We start from the raw sequence: 15,663 nt of genomic DNA, 5'->3' as shown, positions 1-15,663 counted from the left end.
CTCTCTCAAGTTCAAGTCATTCCAGGCTTAATATTATCCTTGTCTGCCACCTGGTGGCCAAAATGGGCAATGTGGGTGTCCTGGTCTTTCACCCCAAACTTCAAAAGGCTCTGTAATTGGACTTACGGGCCCTGGCTGGAAAGAAGGGAGACTTTCCCCATGGAAAACGGGTGCCCTGAGAGGCAAGTTGATCAGCAGTAGGGGCATAAGGGGATTATTAGGGTTTATGGGACAGAAATATAGCCTCTTAATGACAGAGAGAATATACTTTGGTGAAACCAAGAGGCCGATTGAACACAATTGGCCACCTTTGCACACTGAGATAAAATATGAGGTTTTTTGCAGAGCGGGGAAGGAGAAAAGTCTAGGGACAACAATGAGGTAAGTAGGAAAAGTAATCGTGTGGACACACATGGTGAATTTGGGGATGCTCAGGGGGTTGAAAGGTTGGCAGGGAAATTCTGAAACGTGAGAGGACATTTCCCTGGATGGAGAGGCCCCTGGTAGCCAGCGGACAGGAATCTCTTAGCAGGTGTGCTAATATCCTGTGAGTATGGGCCTTACAGTGTCTGTAGAACCACTGAGAAGAAGAGCAACCTTCAGGAGACGGGCGACTGAGGAAGCAGCTTGGCTTTCCTGGCCACTGTGCAGGAGGCCCAGGCTCAGGGGCCTATGGACAAGCCCGGTCTGGCTTCTGACAAAAGTGGGGTTAGGCACCTCTGCAGGACATCGATAGTTGGGTGGGTGGCTTGTTTTATTTTTTATTTTTGAGATAATGTCTCGTGCTGTCGCCCAGGCTGGAGTATAGTGCTGTGATCTCAGCTCACTGCAACCTCTGCCTCCCAGGTTCAAGTGATTCTCTTACCTTAGCCTCCTGAGTAGCTGGGATTACAGACACCTGCCACCACACCCGTCTAATTTTTGTATTTTAGTAGAGATGGGGTTTCACTATGTTGGCCAGGCTGGTCTTGAACTCCTGACCTCAGGTCATACCCCACCTTGGCCTCCCAAAGTGCTGGGATTACAGGTGTGAGCCACCGCACCTGGCCTGAGGTTGCCATCTATTAACCAGAGAACAAGTCCTTGCCAGACACCAAATCTGCTGGCACCTTGATCCTCGATGTCCAAGCCTCGAGAACTGTAAGCAATACATTTCTGTCATTATAAGGCACCCAGTTTATAATATTAACCTGTAGTATTTTAAGTTTTATATCAGTATTGGAAGCCCTATTTTTTTGAGGCAGGGTCTTGCTGTGTTGCCCAGGCTGGAGTGTAGTGGTGCAATCACGACTCACTGCAGCTCTGACCTCCCAGGCTCAAGTGATCTGCCCGCCTCAGCCTCCTGAGTAACTGAGACTATAGGTGTGTGCCACCACATCCAAATAATTTTTCTATTTTTTTGTAGAGATGACATTTCTCCATGCTGCCTAGGCTGGTCTGGAACTCCTGGGCTCAAGTTCAGGAGTCCCACCTCGGCCTCCAATAGTGCTGGGATTACAGGCATGAGCCACTGCACCCGGCCTAACCGGTAATATTTATTTATTTGTTTATTTATTTATTTACTTATTTTTGAGGTAGGGTCTCTGTCGCCCAGACTGGAGTGCAGTGGTGCAATCTCAGCTCACTGCAACTTCTACCTCCTGGGTTCATGTTATACTCGTGTCTCAGCCTCCCGAGTAGCTGATATTCTAGGTGTGCACCACAGAGCCTGGCTAATTTTTGTCTTTTTAGTAGAGACAGCGTTTCACCATGTTGGCCAGGCTGGTCTCAAACTCCTGGGGTCAAGTGATCCACCCACCTCGGCCTCCCAAAGTGTTGTGATGATGGGTGTGGGCCACTGCACCGGGTCTAATCGGTAGTATTTTTGCTATAGCAACTGAATGGACTAAAACACTAGGAATTCCAGTAACCAGGTTTCCTATTGGCCACTCACAGATTTTTTTTGTTTTTTGTTTTTGTTTCTTTGTTTGTTTGTTTGAGACTGAGTCTCGTCCTGTGGCCCAGGCAGGAGTGCCGTGGTGCAATCTCATCTCACTGCAACCTCTGCCTCCCGGGTTCAAGGGATTCTCCTGCCTCAGCCTCCCTAGTAGCTGGGACTACAGGCGTGTGCCACTGCACCAGGCTAATTTTTTGTACTTTTAGTAGAGACGGAGTTTCACCATGCTAGCCAGGATGGTCTCGATCTCCTGATGTGGTGATCCGCCTACCTTGGCCTCCCAAAATGCTGGGATTACAGGTGTGAGCCACCGCACCCGGCCTGGCCACTCACAGATGTAAGAGCACTTGGGGCTTGGGGAGAGGCAGACAGAGGCTTTTTTTAGAATTTATTTTTATTCTTTCAGACCTCTCAGGGATGAACGGACATAGGCTTCTAACACTTAGGTGTGGGCAACATTCTTCGAAGCACCTCCCTCAAAGTGGAAAAGGCCTGGGGGCTCAGACGAGAGAAGAGAGAAGGCAGGGAGAAGGTGGAGGTGAGGAAGGGAGGAGGGGGCCCAGGGCTCAGTGGGGTGTTGGGGAGGGTGGGATTCCACCGGGGTTTGCCCATCCACAGCTCAGTGGGGGGATCTATGGAGTGTGTCTAGCAAGAGAGGACCCATGGCAGGCTTGGTAACTAACATCATGCAGTAGCTTCTTCTATTCTCTCTTATTTTTTTGGAAACGGAGTCTCGCTCTTGTTGCCCAGGCTGGAGTACAGTGGCACAATCTCAGCTCACTGCAACCTCTGCCTCCCAGGTTCAAGTAATTCTCCTGCCTCAGCCTCCTGAGTAGCTGGGATCACAGGTGGGCACCACCACTGTGCCCGTCTGATTTTTGTATTTTTCATAGAGATGGGGTTTCACCACGTTGGGCAGGCTGGTCTCAAACTCCTGTCCTCAGGTGTTCTGCTCACCTTGACCTCCCAAAAGTGCTGGGATTAGGGGCATGAGCCACAGTGCCTGGCCTATTATTCTCTTTTTATTTTTATTTTTCTCATATTTTTCCCTTATATTTTGTTTTCTTTGCTTTTTAAAAATCTTTTTTACTCCTCACTGACTTGAAGCTCAAAACTTTCCTATTTAGCTTCTAATCACACACTCTCTCTTTTTTTTTTTTTTTTTTGAGAAGGGGTCTCACTGTGTTGCCCTGGCTGGTCGGTCTCAAACCTCTGGCCTCAAGCCATCCTCCCATCTCATCCTTCCCAATAGCTGGGATTACAAGTATGGGCCATCATGCCTGAGTAAATTCTTAATAAATGCTTTCTGAATGGATGGACGGAAGTATGAATGAATGGCGAAGTGAATGAAGGAATCAACTTCTTTCTCCTTAGTGGGTGTGTGTGGGCACAGCAGGCTGACCCTCGCCTGTCAGCGAACCCACCCCCTCCTCCCCGGCACAGGGAGCTACAGCTCTGTGTGTCTCTCTTCAGGCTCCTCGAGCTCCTGGATCTTTTGGGGCAGCGCCTTCTTCCAGAACTGGAGCCTGTGGGCCTTCAGAGCCCGGCCCACCGCAGGCTGTAGGTTCAGCTGCAGGTATTGCTCCTCCTGGTCGAACAGCGGCCAGTGTGGCAGACCCTCGCCATTGGGGTTCCTGTAGACATGCCATCCCAGCAGGGCAGTATGAGGGTCACTCTGGGCCCCCGAAGCCCAGACCTGAGCACCCTGAGTCTGGTCAGGCAAGGCAGCCAAGCAGGCCAGGTGGGCTTGGGGAATGAGTGGGGAGGCTTCCAGAAACAGGAAATAAGCTCCCTCTGGCTAGTGTCAGCACCAGTGGGGGTTGGGGGAGGGCAGCCAGCTCTGTTGTGTCCCTCTCTCTGAGAGGGAGGCCCTGACGGTGGCACAGCACTGGCGCCCACCCTCCAGGTAGACTGGAGAGATAGAGCGTGTCCACTGCCCCACGCACCCCCACCCTGTCTGAGTGGGTCCCGGAGCTGGGGAAGGGGCCATCATGTGATGAAGGATGCGGGTGTGCTCATGAGGTCACCCCAGACTAGGAGAGCACTGGATGGGCACAAGTCCCCCAATCGGGGAGGTTGAGGCAGGGGTGTGCTGTCTCACCCATTTCTCGCAAAGTTGGCCCAGTACTTCATCATCTTCCTGCTTAGCTGCTCCTCTTCCTCAGTGAATTTAACTGCCAAGAGGAAGAGGACATGTGTCTTCATCAGGATGTCCAACCTCAGCATCCCAGGTGGAGCTCGTCCTTGGCCCCCGAGACCTCGGTCCCCAGTCCTGCTTCTCCGCTTTTTCTTCCACTGCCCTCAGAAGCCAGCCCTCCCCTTTTCCAAACTTTCCCTGTAGACCAGGCTCTGGCTGACTCCATCCTGGGCTCCTTCATGGCCCCAAAGGCCCCTTCTTCCTTCTATCTCTGGGAGTCACTGAAGAAATAAACATGTCCCTGAAACACCTGTTCTGCACCAGGCCAGACACCCATGGCTGGGGAGAGGCAGAGGGAGCACAGCTCACAGTCTGAAGAGTCGTGAATTCTAATCCTGGTGCAGCTTTTGGAGCTATAAAACCTTGGACACCTGATCTCATCCTCTCTCTGAGCCTCAGTTTCCTTATCTGGGCAGTGAGGACAATCAATCATCGCTCAGAGACCCAGCCAGAATCCCAGCCCACCTCCCGGGAAAGGAAGAAGACTCACTGTAGTTGCCCCCAAAGAAACTTCTGAAAACAAAAGGAAGCTCATCACCATGGTCTGCCTTCATGTGCGGTGGCCTGATGTTCTTGAGCCAGCTGGGCTGATGCTGGAACTCGTAGAAGTACACAGGGGCCCGGGAACCTGTGGGGTGGACAGCCCATGACACGGTGGCCCCTCCCCCTGAAGACTTCTTGCCTCACCCATGGTGATAAGATACCTAGGTCCAAAGCTGGCTGGAATCTGGACAATGGGGTGTGGAGCCCCAGGCTGGGGCAGGAATAGAGGAAAGGACTTGCGATTCTTTGCTGTGTCATCTTGGGCAAGTCACTGAAGGTCCCTAACTTCAATTTGCTCGTCTGTGAAATGGGGGAAATGTCGGATTCTTGGGCTAGCCATGAGGATTTACTGCAATGATGGATGTCAAGTGTCCCCGGAGCCCAATAAACATGAGTGCTGACCCGGACAGCAGCAGGTCTCACCTGGGACCCACAGCCCTGAGCTGTACCCTGCCCGCCAGGCTTTGGTCCAAATATACTCACACTGAAAATGTGCTACTTGGAGTGCAGGGATCACAAACATGGAGTCCGCCATCATCTCCTGGAACTGCGCTTGGAGGGTCTGGGGATCCCCATTGTCCCCAATGTACTCCTCCCTCAGCAGGTCACCAAATGTAGGAGGCAACATCTACCCCAGGTGGATCAGGAAGAGGCAGGTTAGACTGGATGCCAGGGGCAGGGAGGAGGTGGTCTCGGGCTTGGGGATGGCACAGGAAGGGGGAGCAAAGGCGAGGCTCTGAGGTGACCCCACCCCTAAACACACACACCCAGGCCTTTGCTCATGGGGGTCACTACATAGGAAGGGTATCTGGGGGTTGAATTTCCTCTGTCTCAGGACAGGAGAGGAGCCCGTCTCCATTGGCGAGGGACCCCAGGAGCCTTACCAGCAGCGTTAACATTTTCTGCAGAGCAGCCTGGGAGGCCTCTCTGTCCATTTCCTTCTGGGTATCATAGATCCTCATGACCTGGATGGCCAGGAGAGAGTCTGTAGCTGGGGATGGGATGAGCCTGGAGCTATGAAGCCCTGAACACCCCCCACTACCAGATGGGCTCCCCAGGCACTTGTGGGCTTGGGTTGGGGCTCACCTTGGGGATGAGCCAGCCGAATTCATTGTTGTTGACACCAACAATGCTAGGGACAGGCTGAAAGTCGGCAGAGGCCAGCAGCTCCTGGGGGTGCCTGGGCAGGAAGACCCCATCCACCACTCCGGGGATCATCTTGAAAGGCTGAGGGGAAATGTAAGGTCAGGGAACAAGGTCAGGTCCCAGACATCTTCCGATGCCCTCTGAGTACCTTCCACTCCTTCCCAGTTTATCCCTGGATGCTCATACCCACCCCAGGAGATTACTGTTTGGCTCAGCATGCACCGACCTTCAGTCCCGACCCAGGGCTATGACACTCAGGCATGCAGATGAGGTAATGTGCCCAGGGAATATGACGGCCGTGCAGGCCTGCCAGCCCCATGCCTATTGCACCCCTTCCTCTACACCCACATCCATTTAGACCAACCTTGTTAATTGCAAGAATCTCCTCTTTACTCTTGCCCCGCAGGCAGCCCACCAGGGCCTCAGAGTCAACTTGGTCACAGGCAGACAGGTTGGCCACCACCTGTAAAGGGACCAGGCAGGGGCTGGCTCATCCTTCCAGGTAGAGGAGAGGAGTTTGCCCAAGGCCCTGGCCAAGAACAGGGGTACCCCAAATCTCAGAGGGTACTTCGTATGAGTTCCTGCAGTTCTGACACTGTTCCAACTCAGAAGTCCCAGACACAGGGGCCATCCCATCCGCCTAGATGATTCTCCTCATGGTGGGGATCCCTAGGGTGACAACTTTGCACAGGAGCCACAGAACAAGCTCGGCCTCTGCAATGGCAGAAGGATGTGAATTCTGACCCTGGAGCCCCCCAGCAATTCCACGGTAGGCAGCAGCTCCTGGAGCATGCTCCCGATGGCCCTTGTCATCCCCGTTTAACAGACAGAGGCTCTGAGGGATATGAGGGGAGGGAGCAGGCCTAGGCCTCTTCAGCTGAGGGCACTCACCGTGGAGATGACATCAGCTGAGCTGGCAATGAGGCCGGGCAGGAGGGCCACGCCACTCTCCATGATGGCTCCGTGGAAGAGTCCTTGGGATATGGGGGACACAACAAGCGAAGACACACTCGTGCCACCCGCAGACTCGCCAAAAATGGTGACACGGTCAGGGTTGCCTCCAAAGTGGGCGATATTCTGCTGGACCCAGCGTAGTGCAGCCACTTGGTCCAGGTAGCCCCAGTTGCCGGTTGCGTGCTTGTCTCCAGTGCTGAGAAGTAGCAGGGACAGGGATCACAGGGCTGTCCTGGCCCCGCTCAGCCCGGGTTGCCCAGCCCAGCCCTAGTCTCACCTGAAGAAGCCCAGGACACCCAGGCGGTACTGGATGATGACCACCACCACGTTCTCCAAGGCAGCCAGCATGGAACCATCATACAAGGAAGCCATGCCAAAAACAAGCGCACCACCGTGGATCCACACCATCACCTGGGGAAATCAAGGCAGCTACCATGATGCTCCCACCCAGCCCAAACCCCACCAGGGCCACTACCTAGACCAACCAGTGCTTTGCCTCTGTCTACCTCCCCATTAGATCTCCAGCACAAATTCATTACATGGGCAAATGGTTAGGCACCCAAGATCTATCAGGAAGACCAGGCCTCCCAATCTTTGCAATCGAACCCCCTGTATCAAAGCCTGGGTTCATTAACCCCAGATAATTCACCAAAGTGGAAAGAAAAGGGGTGTCTCCCTGATGGCTCCACATGAACATTAACCAAAAATGTCCTTAGCCTGAACCACATAGTGAGACCCCGTTTCAACAGAAAATGTTTTAAAAATGAGCCAGGCATGGTGGAATAGGCCAGTAGTCCCAGCTACTCGGGAGGCTAATCTGAGAGGATCATCCCGGATTTCGAGGTTACAGAGAGGTATGTTCATGCCACTGCATTTTAGCCTGGGCAACAGAGCATGATGCCATCTCTAAGAAAAAAAGTTTTTGTGTGTGCCCATTCTATAGGCCCAACAGATTATCCATGGCTGGGGTTCTTGGTCACCTCAAGGTGCAGCCCTTTGGCACTTAAGTGGATCTCCTGGCATGAGTTGGCTGAGTGAGTCCTGGGTCCAGCCCAGAGCCACAGCCTTTGACCTCTGGGAGCAGCCAGAACTCTGTGACCCCATGTCCAGGGGCCAGCTGCCCAGTCTGGGTAAGGAGCATTTCTTGGACCTGACAGTGAGAAGCTTCTCAGCATGGTCCACTCTGAAGCAGGGCCTGAGCTAATATTGTCCTTTTCAGCTTCTTGCAGAAGAACTGTCCTCCAACCCCCAGTGAACTGTGGCCTGACACCCACCGGCAGGTTAGAGCCTTCATGGCTATGGGCCGGCGTGTAGATGCTGAGGTACAGGCAGTCCTCAGACATGGAGTCGGAAGGGAAGGTCATGTTGAACTGGCTAAGAAACTCTGACTCCACTGCGGTGAGGTCCTGTAGACACCTGGTAACCAGGGCAAATAATCAGTCCAGGGGCCAGGCTGTGGCCAAAACCAGACCCTGGGTTCAGAGGTGCTCCCAGCCACCCTCAGACCCTTCCCACAATATCCTGCTCACACATGATCCCTCTCAAAAATCCCTTCCCACCAAGTTACAGGCCACAGGCTCTGGGGAAGCTGGGATGCAGCTTGGACTTCCAGGGAGGCCTCGAGGTTACTGAGGACCTTGGGTATCATTCCTCGCACTGCCGGAAACCTTGACTCTTAGGGGTTTCTATGAGAACCATTGGCTGCATGTGTTGACATTCACCACTATATTCCTGTAACCCGTAAGGCCTGGGACAGGGGAGTAGCCCACATATGTGTGCTACATGAGTGAATGGATGTTAATTTCTCATGAGAAGGGCAGTGGGATGTCTCTCATCCCAAGTCTAAACTCTCAAAAACTCATCATTCCTACATGGCCTCCAGTTGGAAACATATACATATACATATACATGTCTCTTGGCCAATGGCTCCTGGTCCTGTCAGTGGACACAGTGCCTGTGGAGAGTGCAGGTCCCCAGAAAGCTACCACTACTGTTCTCTTCAGGTATTTGCAACATCTGCCACTAGAGTTAGGGGCTCCTACAAGGTTCATAGAGCCAACCCGAACCTTTCCCAGAGACACCTGCCACTGGTGGCAGAGAAAGCTTGGCATAACCAGAATCTGGGGAGATACGTGTGTCTGCCCCTCCCTTCGGCACCTGGAGCCAATGTCTTCTGAATGCCAAGCCCTGATCCAGGAGTCTGAGAAGTTATTCTGCCCTCCTGAGCCTCAGCATGCTCATTGGAAAAATGCACGTGGGAATCCACGAAACTCAGAAGGAAAACTGGCTGTGGGGGTTTAGATGAAATGATAACTGCAGCCTAGCTGAGCTCAGAGCACCCCCACCCCTGCCCCAGGGCCTGGAGTTCCCTGGACCCCTTGGAGAGCTTACATGGCCGGATGGGTGGTTCCATCCCTCACACCACTCCAAGATTCAGGGGGCTCAGGGGGTGCAAATCGCAGCGGACCTAGAGGTGGCTTGGCAAATGGAATTCCCAGGAAGGTTTGGACCCCGGCATTGGCGCCCTTCACATGGACAAGACTCCCCAGCACCTGCCCCGTGTGTGTGGTCCGGATGGGACTGGCTGAGTCCTGGCCTGTGGGCAGAGAGACAGACATCACGGTTGGGTTTGACCAATCGACTGCCCTCCCAACTGTTGGTATTGCTGCTTCCTTGCCATCCTCATCTTAGCTCAAGGGACTCTGATCTGTAAACATGGGCTTTACAAACTTCCTGCCTGTAACACTCCCTTCCCGCTCTGGCTTCCTGGGCCTGTCTCCATCCCACCAGGCTGAGGCTCCTTGGGGCCAGGCATCATCATTCAGCCCTAGGACCTTCAAACAAAGGGTCACATGCCCTTGATGGGACTAGAGTGTCCTTCAACTGTGTGCCAGGTCATGTGACAGTAGGATGATGGTGGGAATTGGGCAGGCAAGTTTCTTGTCCTCAGGGATGTCATGTCCAAAGTGGCAAGAAATCATGTAAAGAAAGCATCATCCAAACCATGAGTGATGTTGGTGAAAAGAGGTGCAAGAGAAAAGTATGGCTGTGGCTGGGATATAAAAAGCACAGTGACTGGCCTGGGGACCATAGTGGGACTCTGTCTCTGCAAAAAAATCAGGAAATAAATTGGCGGGGTGTGGTGGTGCATGCCTGTAGTCCCAGCTGTAGAAAAGCCTGGCTCCAGAAAGTGGGTGAGTTTATGACTGTTTAGATGAAAATCAAGGACAAGTGCACACATCTATTCTTGTGTAAACTGCTGGGCACTGTGTGTACTGCGGTGTCAACAAGCAGTTTCCAGTGTGGGCCATGGGGACTTTGATGGCCCCTGAGGAGAAGCCAGGACTGGTTGGGTAAAAAGAGGATGGCACACATCACCTGTACCCTCCTATGGCTTGTCAATTATTTTTTCTGAATGTGGGTCCAACCCAAAATTTTGTATACATATATATTTGTCAGACAAGGTCGCCATCTGTTGCCCAGGCTGGAATGCAGTAATATGATAACAGCTCACTGCAGCCTCCACCTCCTGGGCTTGAGATCCTCCCGCCACAGCCTCCTGAGTAGCTTGGAGTACAGCTGTCTGCCACCATGCTTGACTTTTTTTTTTTTTTTTTTTGGTAGAGACAAGTCTTGTTGCCCAAGCTGGTCTCTAACTCCTAGCCTCAAGTGATCCTCCCATCTCTGCCTCTCAAAGTGCTGGGATAACAGGTGTGAGCCACTGTGCCTGGCCCAAAATATTTTAAAAGGTAGCCATCTGTGAGGCCAGGCAGATCTTCCTGCTGGGCTCCTGGTGAACTCTAGAATGTGGTCAAGGGCAGGCACGGGAGGAAGCCCTGCAGCAGTGCACCATGGGGCGGGGGGAGTATGGACTCCACCTGCGCAAATTAAATTGGGGAAGGGTTGGAAGAGACAGATCATACACTTAGGAGAGTTTCGGGTGAGAGGACCAAAGGCCGAAACACTCCCCCAGCTTCTGATAAGGGCCTGGAGAAGCCTGGCAGGCACACAGAGCCTTCACCTTTGCCCTGGAAGCCAAGTTGTGCCCTTGCCCAGGATGAGGTAAATGGCATGAGGGACACCACGAGCTCTTTGGTTCTTGTTTCTGGAGACAGATTTTTGCTTTTTCACCCAGGCTGGAGTGCAGTAGTGGGATGAAGGCTCACTGCAGCCTCAACCTCCCCTACTAAAGTGATCTCCCACCTCAGCCTCCCAAGTAGCTGGGACTACAGGTCACAGACCACCACAGCCCACTAATTTCTTTCAATTTTTTGTACACTCCGAGTCTCACTATGTTGTCCAGGCTGGCCTCCAACTCCTGGGCACAAGCGATACTCTCCCTTGGCCTTCTAAAGTGGTGGGATTAAAGGAGTGAGCCAATCGCACCCAGCCACTGTGGCCTCTTAGATCTGCTTTAGGATTTGGCGCCTGGGGGCTTCTGTTCCCCAAGGACCACTATCCTTGTCTGAGGCCCCTTTGGAGGGCTCAGGGCATCCCCCCTGGCCAAGGACGCCACACACTGAGAGCCAGATGCTGCCAGAAGCTATTACTGTTATTACCGGCCGGCAGCACCCGCTACAGCCACAATCATAAGAGGGAAATGGACTGAATCCCCACACCCCAATCCCTCACCCACTCCGACCCCAGGCTGCCTACCCGGCCTGGCATGTCCCGGCGCTCCTGGGGCCCCTGTACTCCGCTGGTTCCTTGCCGTGGTGTCCCCCAGCCCGACCCTTTCTGTGCTTCTAGGAGCCCACCTTGGGCGGCGGGGAGGCGTTGCGTGGGGCTCACGAGTTCCACGCTGTCATCTCCACCAGCTCCTACCTCCCAGGCGCCTGCCCTCCCGCACTGTCAGGTTCTGCCTCCGCAGCATTTGGCAGATCTGAGCCCGGTCCCTGTCGCCCCTCCGAGGGAGCCTCACCCTGGCCCCGGACAAGAAGCAGCAGAAGCCCACAGGCCACCGCGCTCAGCCGCGCACGAAGTCTGTGCAGCCGCATGGTCGGCTCGCTGGTCTCGGTTCGCTGCCGGCGGACACGCTGCTGTTCACCCAGAGGCTGCCCCGGGTCTGTCCAGCAGTGGATCAGTGCCTTGCCCAGCCTTGGAGTTTGGACTGGGCAGGGAGTCAGCGGGGTGCGCTGGCTTGGGCCGGGAAAGGTGGGTGTGGTAGGAGAGCGGGACTGAGCAGTCATAGGTGGGTGGGGATCTAGTGGTAGGCAGGCCCGGGCACGGCCACTTTCCTTTGCCCGGGCTCCTTTGGCATCCTCGGAAGGGGCTGTGCCATTCCTGCAGCCCTTCCGCGATCCAGGGAATCCTCTCTTCAAACCTGTCCTTGTCCACAGGCCCGATGAGCGCGCTGGGGGATCGATAGGAGGGGGCAATAAACTAGAATTGGAGACCCCAGGAGGGCTTCTCTGAGGATGTGCACGTTCAGGATCCCCCAGATGGAGAAATGGGAAGGAACTTGATCGGGGTGAAGGAACCGCTTGAGCAAAGGCAGGAAGGAGTGTCGGCGCCCTTCATTCTGGAAGTTCCTCCTTGCTTTCAGGACTCAGTTTCCTGGGTTCCCCTTCACGGCCCCTCATCTCCTTACAGTCCAGGGTCTGAGGGTCTCCGCGGTCCCCTCCCTACTCAGTCACGCCATTCTTTTGAAACGTACACGTGACCGCGGCACTTCTTAAGGAGCGCCCCCCTTTTCCTCGGTGGCTTTCAGTTTCCTCACCTCCCGCGGAGACCACGGCCATGGTCATTTATCCACTTGACAAACATTTCACGAGCCCCTGCCGGTCCAAGCTGTGGGGACGCCGTACTCCCGGGCCTATGGTGCAGCAGGGGAGGCAGGCGCGTCACCGGGAGGTCCCGAGACACTAGGATCCCTGCCAGGCCAGAGGCGACCAACCGTCCTGGATACGGGAGCTCCCGGCCAGCCTGACTTCCAGGAGGAAGCGGTGTGGGGATTACCTCCGACCGCCTTTAGTGCCCCCTGAGACCTGGTTCTGGCCTCTACGTTTCAGCCCGCTACTGGCTCGCACGACCCAGCGCCGCCGTGGTCCCTTCTCAGCGCCTTCTGCTCCAGCGACCATCATGTTCCCGGGTCCGAGCAGCCAGGGCCGCGGTCACCGCTTCTCTCGCACCTCAGGCCGAGAACCCACAACGCGGCGTGTCCCTCGCGCGACTCCGTCGCCACGCCACGCCCCCTTCCCGTTCTCCGGAAGTGCGCGGGTTGGAGCGGAAGCGCACGCCTGCTAGGATCAGCGGTGGTGGTTCCGCGATGGTAGGCGGCGGCGGGGTCGGCGGCGGCCTCCTGGAGAATGCCAACCCCCTCATCTACCAGCGCTCTGGGGAGCGGCCTGTGACGGCAGGCGAGGAGGACGAGCAGGTTCCCGACAGCATCGACGCACGCGAGATCTTCGATATCCGCCGCTGCTGGGCGCGGGCGGGTTCCGGGGGCTTGCGGTGGGGGGAGCAGTGATATCGAGCAGCTGGTGGAGCCGCATCCCAGCAGGGCGTTCCTGGCAGAGGGTTCTAAGTGGGCAAGGGCGCAGAGTCCCTTTTCCTTCACTTCCCACATCTGATTCGCTCCATCAATGACCCGGAGCATCCACTGACGCTAGAGGAGTTGAACGTAGTAGAGCAGGTGCGGGTTCAGGTGAGTCACTTCCGAGGGGAGCGAGTTGTTCCAGAGAGTCAGAAAGGTTTCTGTGCAGCAGGAGCTGGCGTGCTCTATGCTCACGAACACCGAAGGGTATCTTTGGGGAGGGAGATTGTTGTGCCTATTTTATGGGTGTTGAAACTGAGGCCCATAGAAGTTGGATGATTTGCCCAAAACAACAAACTAAGAAGAGGGACCTTGGGCTGAGGGTGGTTGACTCTTGACATCTCTCCTCCACAACCAGGTTAGCGACCCCGAGAGTACAGTGGCTGTGGCTTTCACACCAACCATTCCGCACTGCAGCATGGCCACCCTTATTGGTCTGTCCATCAAGGTCAAGCTTCTGCGCTCCCTTCCTCAGCGTTTCAAGGTCAGTTGGAGCTGAGCCCCGGGAGTGAGACCAGGCATTGAGGGTCTACTGCTGAGGATGGGGACTGGGAGAGCATGAACATGGATAGGACATCAGAGTGGGGCCTGGAAGGATCCCCATTAGCAGAGAGGAAACTGGGAGGAAGCTTTCCAAGTCGATGTGACAAGAATAAAGATCTGAGCTGGAAAGTGGAGAAAAGTATTGAAGAGTGTGGCAGGAAGGGCAGTAGGGAGCGGCAGATGGGTTTGGACCAGGGGTGGGGCACAGGCAGGCCTTTAAATCAACAGTAGTGGGCCAGTTCTTTGGATAGAATTGGAATAGCTAGGGCCGGGCGCGGTGGCTCACGCCTGTAATCCCAGCACTTTGGGAGGCTGAGGCGGGTGGATCATCTGAGGTTAGGAGTTGGAGACCAGCCTGGCCAACATGGTGAAATCTCATCTCTACTAAAAATACAAAAATTAGTGGGGCGTGGTGGTGTGTGCCTGTGGTCCCAGCTACACGGGTGGCTGAGGAAGGAGAATCAAATTGAACCTGGGAGACAGAGGTTGCAGTGAGCCGAGATTGCGCTGCTGCACTCCAGCCTGGGCAACAGAGCAAGACTCAGTCTTGGAAAAAAAAAAAGAATTGGAATACCTGTGGATGGGTTTGGGGTGTAACGGAAGGGCCAGAGTCCAAAGGCATGATTAGGAGGAAGGATCAGCTGGAGATGGTGCCTGAGGGTCTGGGGGCTGCAGGGAAAAGTGTGGGTCGGTGGGTGGGTGTTCAGGCCCTGGTTATCTCCCTCCCAGATGGACGTGCACATTACTCCGGGGACCCATGCCTCAGAGCATGCAGGTAAGTGTGGACTGGTGGTGAGGGTGTTGGCCCGGGCACCCCCTAAGCAGTCTGAGGCTTCCCCCTTGCACAGGAGTCTATGGGCAAGACTGGAGATGGGTAACTGTGTGAGTGAAATTGCCAGAGACTCCTCAGTATGGGTTATAGCCTAGACCGAAGCTGGCCTGAGAAGACTCTCCTTTGCTTACCATGTCCTCTTCTCCCAAATCCCCTCTCACCAAATATACAGGACCAGAGTGTGTCAGGCTTCAGCAGCGCAGGAGGCAGCCAGGGGGAGGGATCCTAAGAAGGCAGATTAGGTGGGCTCAGGTGGTTGAAGTAGCCTGATCAATATGTGGGGTCCTGGGAAGGAGGTGACAGGAGGGCTCTGTTGCTGCGGGGGACATATCCTATATAGAGGTTCAGAGGTAGGGCTGGCTAGCACTCTGGCCAGAGCCTAGCTTTGACTCTGCCTTCCCCACACCCTTCTTCCCACCTAGTGAACAAGCAACTTGCAGATAAGGAGCGGGTGGCAGCTGCCCTGGAGAACACCCACCTCTTGGAGGTTGTGAATCAGTGCCTGTCAGCCCGCTCCTGAGCCTGGCCTTTGACCCCTCAGCCTGCATACTGGTATCCTGGTCCCAGCTCCTGCCAGGGCTGTTACCGTTGTTTTCTTGAATCACTCACAATGAGAAACTAACATTTTGCTTTTTGTAATAAAGTTAATTTATATTCAGTTCCCAGCATGCCTTGGTGTCTTTCATCTTGGTGGAGTCATTTGGAGTTTGAGGGGGGGATGGTGGTAGTAAGTGCCTCTAAAGGGTGGTGTACTTGCAACTTTTCGTAAAATAAAATCAAAATGGAAAGAGTAGTGTACGAATGTGCCTGTATGCTCACCACCACCAGTAGAGTCAACAGTTGTTGACATATTGCAACACTGGCCATATTTATGTGTGCATATATAAATATCAGTAAGTAAGCTGCAGAGACTTGACTCTTCACTTTGAAGTACTGCAGCTCCTATAGTCAATATAAGCCTGTATAGCCACAATACT

At 54.4% G+C, this 15,663-nt stretch overlaps 2 protein-coding genes across 9 annotated transcripts, besides 5 other annotated features; one reads left to right on the top strand and one right to left on the bottom strand.

The window, feature by feature from the left end:
• Positions 1–2,312: 2,312 nt before the first annotated feature.
• On the bottom strand, positions 2,313–12,938 carry CES2 (carboxylesterase 2). 6 transcript variants are annotated; one of them, NM_003869.6, is made up of 12 exons: positions 11,698–12,938; positions 9,168–9,372; positions 8,051–8,192; positions 7,054–7,187; positions 6,714–6,972; positions 6,187–6,285; positions 5,763–5,903; positions 5,561–5,641; positions 5,160–5,304; positions 4,624–4,761; positions 4,038–4,110; positions 2,313–3,570 (listed from the first exon to the last, which is right to left on the bottom strand). In NM_003869.6, the coding sequence occupies exons 1-12, from the start codon at positions 11,771–11,773 to the stop codon at positions 3,384–3,386; spliced, it is 1,680 nt and encodes a 559-aa protein (NP_003860.3). In that variant the 5' UTR covers positions 11,774–12,938; the 3' UTR covers positions 2,313–3,383. The 6 variants fall into 6 exon arrangements, with proteins under 6 accessions (NP_003860.3, NP_001352335.1, NP_001352336.1 ...); NM_001365406.1 differs by having other exon boundaries at positions 11,433–11,893; NM_001365407.1 differs by having other exon boundaries at positions 11,534–11,893.
• Positions 5,093–6,292: an enhancer, noted in NCBI's record as "MED14-independent group 3 enhancer chr16:66975020-66976219 (GRCh37/hg19 assembly coordinates)". NCBI's record gives its function as "activates an origin of replication core promoter dependent on BRD2, BRD4, P300/CBP and CDK7 cofactors, and independent of MED14, by STARR-seq in HCT116 cells {active_cell/tissue: HCT116}" and the evidence as "EXISTENCE:reporter gene assay evidence [ECO:0000049][PMID:35650434]".
• Positions 6,352–6,851: an enhancer, noted in NCBI's record as "H3K4me1 hESC enhancer chr16:66974461-66974960 (GRCh37/hg19 assembly coordinates)". NCBI's record gives its function as "activates a minimal SCP1, AML or CMV promoter by ChIP-STARR-seq in primed H9 embryonic stem cells {active_cell/tissue: H9 hESC(primed)}" and the evidence as "EXISTENCE:reporter gene assay evidence [ECO:0000049][PMID:30033119]".
• Positions 11,671–12,283: an enhancer, noted in NCBI's record as "H3K27ac-H3K4me1 hESC enhancer chr16:66969029-66969641 (GRCh37/hg19 assembly coordinates)". NCBI's record gives its function as "activates a minimal SCP1, AML or CMV promoter by ChIP-STARR-seq in naive H9 embryonic stem cells {active_cell/tissue: H9 hESC(naive)}" and the evidence as "EXISTENCE:reporter gene assay evidence [ECO:0000049][PMID:30033119]".
• Positions 12,939–13,006: 68 nt separating the features above from the next.
• On the top strand, positions 13,007–15,344 carry CIAO2B (cytosolic iron-sulfur assembly component 2B). 3 transcript variants are annotated; one of them, NR_046109.2, is made up of 5 exons: positions 13,007–13,152; positions 13,243–13,422; positions 13,670–13,795; positions 14,584–14,629; positions 15,109–15,344. NR_046109.2 is itself a non-coding variant. In NM_016062.4 (5 exons), the coding sequence occupies exons 1-5, from the start codon at positions 13,045–13,047 to the stop codon at positions 15,204–15,206; spliced, it is 492 nt and encodes a 163-aa protein (NP_057146.1). In that variant the 5' UTR covers positions 13,007–13,044; the 3' UTR covers positions 15,207–15,344. The 3 variants fall into 3 exon arrangements, 1 of the variants encoding a protein (NP_057146.1); NM_016062.4 differs by having other exon boundaries at positions 13,007–13,186; positions 13,343–13,422; NR_024525.3 differs by having other exon boundaries at positions 13,007–13,422.
• Positions 13,122–13,321: an enhancer, noted in NCBI's record as "active region_10946". NCBI's record gives its function as "activates an Ori minimal core promoter by ATAC-STARR-seq in GM12878 lymphoblastoid cells {active_cell/tissue: GM12878}" and the evidence as "EXISTENCE:reporter gene assay evidence [ECO:0000049][PMID:35858748]".
• Positions 13,352–13,401: an enhancer, noted in NCBI's record as "active region_10945". NCBI's record gives its function as "activates an Ori minimal core promoter by ATAC-STARR-seq in GM12878 lymphoblastoid cells {active_cell/tissue: GM12878}" and the evidence as "EXISTENCE:reporter gene assay evidence [ECO:0000049][PMID:35858748]".
• Positions 15,345–15,663: the final 319 nt, after the last annotated feature.

Source organism: Homo sapiens, chromosome 16, assembly GCF_000001405.40.
Source record: "Homo sapiens chromosome 16, GRCh38.p14 Primary Assembly".
In the NCBI taxonomy this organism is placed as follows: Eukaryota; Metazoa; Chordata; class Mammalia; order Primates; family Hominidae; genus Homo; species Homo sapiens.
This window is presented reverse-complemented; position numbering and strand designations above follow the sequence as displayed.